Raw genomic sequence first — 3,954 nt, forward strand, 5'->3', positions numbered from 1 at the left:
ACGGGGTTTCACCATGTTAGCCAGGATGGTCTCGATCTCCTGACCTCGTGATCCGCCCGCCTTGGCCTCCCAAAGTGCTGGGATTACAGGCGTGAGCCACCGCTCCCGGCCTAGTTCTATTAAAAGAATAGTGTGGTTTTGTTTTTCTGGCTGGTCCCTGACTGATAGAATTAAAGAGATGATAGATACATAGCTTGACAGACACCATTCCATAGCAGTGGGAAATGATGGATTATCCAATCAATCATGTGGAACGCCCAGGAGACCATCCAGACAAAGACAATTTCCAGGCTAATCAAATATTTAAACATCAAAATACAATCATAAAGAGCTAGAAGTTTTTACACTCTTTTTTTTTTTTTTTTTAATGGAGTTGTACTCTATTGCCAGACTGGAGTGCAGTGGCACAATCTTGGCTCACTGCATCCTGTGCCTCCCAAGTTCAAGCGATTCTCCTGTCTCAGCCTCCCGAGTAGCTGGGACTACAGGTGCGAGCCACCACGCCTGGCTAATTTTTTGTATTTATAGTAGAGATGGGGTTTCACCGTGTTGGCCAGGATAGTCTCAATCTCCTGACCTCATGATCCACCCACCTCGGCCTCCCAAAGTGTTGGGATTACAGGCGTGAGCCACTGTGCCCAGCCAGTTGTTACACTCTCACAGTATGGAAGGTTTCTCAGTACAATAAAGAATACTGAAGTGTTATAAGGAAATATTAACTGATTTTCCCATAGAATACTAGAGAGTTCTGCAGAAGGGAAAAATGCCGTAAGTGAAGTAAAAAGGCAAATCAAAAATTGTGACAAAACATTTACTACTGATATGCAAAAGGGCCAGTTTTCAAAAATATATAAATTCAATAAGTTTAAGATGAATAAGCCAATTAAAATTGTCAAAGAACACACACACAGTCCACATAAAGAGAAATGGCCATGGCCCATAAATATATGAAAAGATGATTGGCCTCACTCATACAAGAGACGTGGAAAATAAGGCCACATGGACATGCCATTTCTCACCTCTTGGTTTGGTAAAGACTTAGTAAATTTAAGAATATTTTCCATTGACAAGTGTGATAAGTCTGGCTTGTGAGAATGTAAACTGTTTAAACTCTTAGGGAGGGCAATGTGCAATAACTAACAATATTTTAAATATGTATAATAATGATCCTATGCGATAGATACCATATCGCTTCTCATTTTACAGATTAGGAAACTGAGGCACACAGAGGGTTAGTATCTTCCCCAGGGCCATAGATCTAATAAACAGTAGAACTGGAATTCAAGTTCAGGCAGTCTGGCACTGAATACAATATGCAAGAACAGTCCACCACACGAGTGATCCACTCATGTGACCCAGGGGTTCCACTCTTAGGTCTTTATCCTACATCTCTCATTGCACATGTACAAACTAAATATGTTCAAAGATATTCACTGTAGCAGAATACTGGGAAATAACCTATTTCGCTCCTAGAGATATGTTCATATAATTATACTGCATCCATAAAATGGAATACAATACAGTCATTACATAACTGAAGCTTATACCAAAAAAAACAGACAAACTGTTGAGTGTGAAAAACAAGGAGCAGAGGGGTTCCAGTTCTGGCAGCAATGGCGCGGCCTCTCCAGGTCTCCCCCTCACACCATATGATTGATAAAAGCTGGACAAATCCCTTGAAACCATAGTATGCATTACAAAGAGCAACCAAAGCAGCCGAGACAAGGGTCTGAAATCCTTGAATGAAAGGAAACTCATGAGTTGCGTTCCATATCTAGTCTGGCTCTTCCCCTGGAAGTTATTCCGCGGCCCACAGGGAACAGAGCCCAAGCACAGCACAACAGCATAACTGCCCTGAGGGTAGAAGGGCCAGCAGCACAGACAGAGGGGAGCTAGGGAGAGGGAACCCCAAAGCCTGCATGCGCATTCTCTTCAAGGTGTGCAGCGGCAGGGCTGAACTCCAAGAAACTAGGCAAAAAGCAACCACTGGGAGGAAAAGAGCTGGTGGGAAGTTGTTGCCGACACGGTGCAGGGGAAACAGAAGCTGGAGTCAAGTCCGGCCGTGGGGGAGAAGAGTTGCGAACATCCCAGGCTCTCTGTGGCATGCCCGAGGAGGGAGGCCATGCAAGAGGTCAGGTAAATTACAGCGGCCTGTCCCAGTGGACAGTAGAACATATTCAGACTGAAGCGCAGTGAGAAGGATAGCAAATGCAGAAAGGGCACGGGAGAGATATGGGATGTGGCAAAAAAAAAAACCGGAATATATCTATATCTGGAATCCCAGAAATAAGAGATTGGGAGAGAAGCAATATCTAAAGAAACACTAAGTGGCCGGGAGCAGTGGCTCACACCTGTAATCCCAGCACTTTGGGAGGCCGAGGCAGGTGGATCATGAGGTCAGGAGATCAAGACCATCCTGGCTAACACAGTGAAACCCTGTCTCTACTAAAAATACAAAAAATTAGCCAGGCGTAGTGGCGGGCGCCTATAGTCCCAGCTACTCGGGAGGCTGAGGCAGGAGAACGGCGCGAACCCGGGAGGTGGAGCTTGTCATGAGCCCAGATCATGCCACTGCACTCCAGCCTGGGAGACAGAGCGAGACTCCATCTCAAAAAAAAAAAAAAAAAAAGAAACACTAAGCAACAATTTTCAAAATCAATAAAAGATGCCAAACCACAGATTAAAGAAGCCCTGTGAACACCAAAGGGGATAAATACAAGGAAAACCACACATTATACTAAAACTGCTAAAAATAAAGGATAGACAAAATATAAAAGTAACCACAGAAAAAAAGACATGTTACTTTAAAAGGAGCAAAAAGAAGACTGGCATATCTGAGAAATAATGGAAGCCAGAAAAAAATGAAGTAATATCTCAAAGCTCTGAAAGAAGAAAAAGACTGCAAACCTCAAACTTTATACCTGAGGAAAATATGCTCCAAAATTAAAAGTGGAATAAAGCATATTTTGTTTTTTAAAAAAATAATAAAATTGTTCAACAAACCTGAACAAGTAACGAACAAAAATGTCATCTTGAACAAAGGGCCCTTCAGGATGCACAGAGCACAGAAACGAACAAAGGAAACCGGAAAAGAAAAGTTAGCAGTAAATGCACTGACTGCCTACAACAACAATAATAAAAGTATCTTTAGGGCTTAAAATACACACGGGAAAAAGACAATAGTCGTTACACGAAGAGTCTTTAACTATGACTATTTAAAGTCATTTCCACAGTTAATTGCTTAATTCTGATGCAGTTTCTGGTAACTTCACAAGCACACAAAAATCCTATAATATATGGTTTCTTTTAGGAGTTCCATAAAAGGATGGAATAAAATAAAAACATATTTTCAGACTGGATAAAAAAATATAAAGTCAACTACACGTTAAAAAAAACACACATGAAATGGAGAAACACAGAAAGACTGAGCAGCTGGACCCAATCGAGGGTGAGGAAAGTAAGGTCTCAGATCCCTCAGGGGTGAAGCTCTGGGCCACCTCTACCTGCAAGGCTGAAAGGATCTAGAATGGGTGACAGGGCAGGGAGATGATTAATACTGTCTACAATCTTGGGACCAGCTAAAACCCTAGGATTATAGCTCTTGTTTGGTCTTGCTGCTTTCTTCAAGTTACTTATTTATCATTTGTTATTATTATTATTGTTTTTTGAGATGGAGTCTCACTCACTCTGTTGCCCAGACTGGAGTGTAGTGGCATGATCTCCACTCACTGCAACCCTGCCTCCCAGGTTTAAGCAATTCTCCTGTCTCAGCCTCCGGAGTAGCTGGGATTACAGGCACCCGCCACCATGACTGGCTAATTTTTGTATTTTTAGTAGAGACAGGGTTTCATCATGTTGGCAAAGCTAGTGTTGAACGCCTGACCTCAGGTGATCCACCCGCCTCAGCCTCCCAAAGTGCTGGGATTACAGGCATGAGCCACCACGCTGGGCCTA

At 42.8% G+C, this 3,954-nt stretch overlaps 2 annotated features.

Annotated features, from left to right (window-relative positions):
- Positions 1,473-1,974: an enhancer, noted in NCBI's record as "H3K4me1 hESC enhancer chr2:131498005-131498506 (GRCh37/hg19 assembly coordinates)". NCBI's record gives its function as "activates a minimal SCP1, AML or CMV promoter by ChIP-STARR-seq in naive H9 embryonic stem cells {active_cell/tissue: H9 hESC(naive)}" and the evidence as "EXISTENCE:reporter gene assay evidence [ECO:0000049][PMID:30033119]".
- Positions 1,975-2,474: an enhancer, noted in NCBI's record as "H3K4me1 hESC enhancer chr2:131498507-131499006 (GRCh37/hg19 assembly coordinates)". NCBI's record gives its function as "activates a minimal SCP1, AML or CMV promoter by ChIP-STARR-seq in naive H9 embryonic stem cells {active_cell/tissue: H9 hESC(naive)}" and the evidence as "EXISTENCE:reporter gene assay evidence [ECO:0000049][PMID:30033119]".

Source organism: Homo sapiens, chromosome 2 (assembly GCF_000001405.40).
Source record: "Homo sapiens chromosome 2, GRCh38.p14 Primary Assembly".
Lineage (NCBI taxonomy): Eukaryota > Metazoa > Chordata > Mammalia > Primates > Hominidae > Homo > Homo sapiens.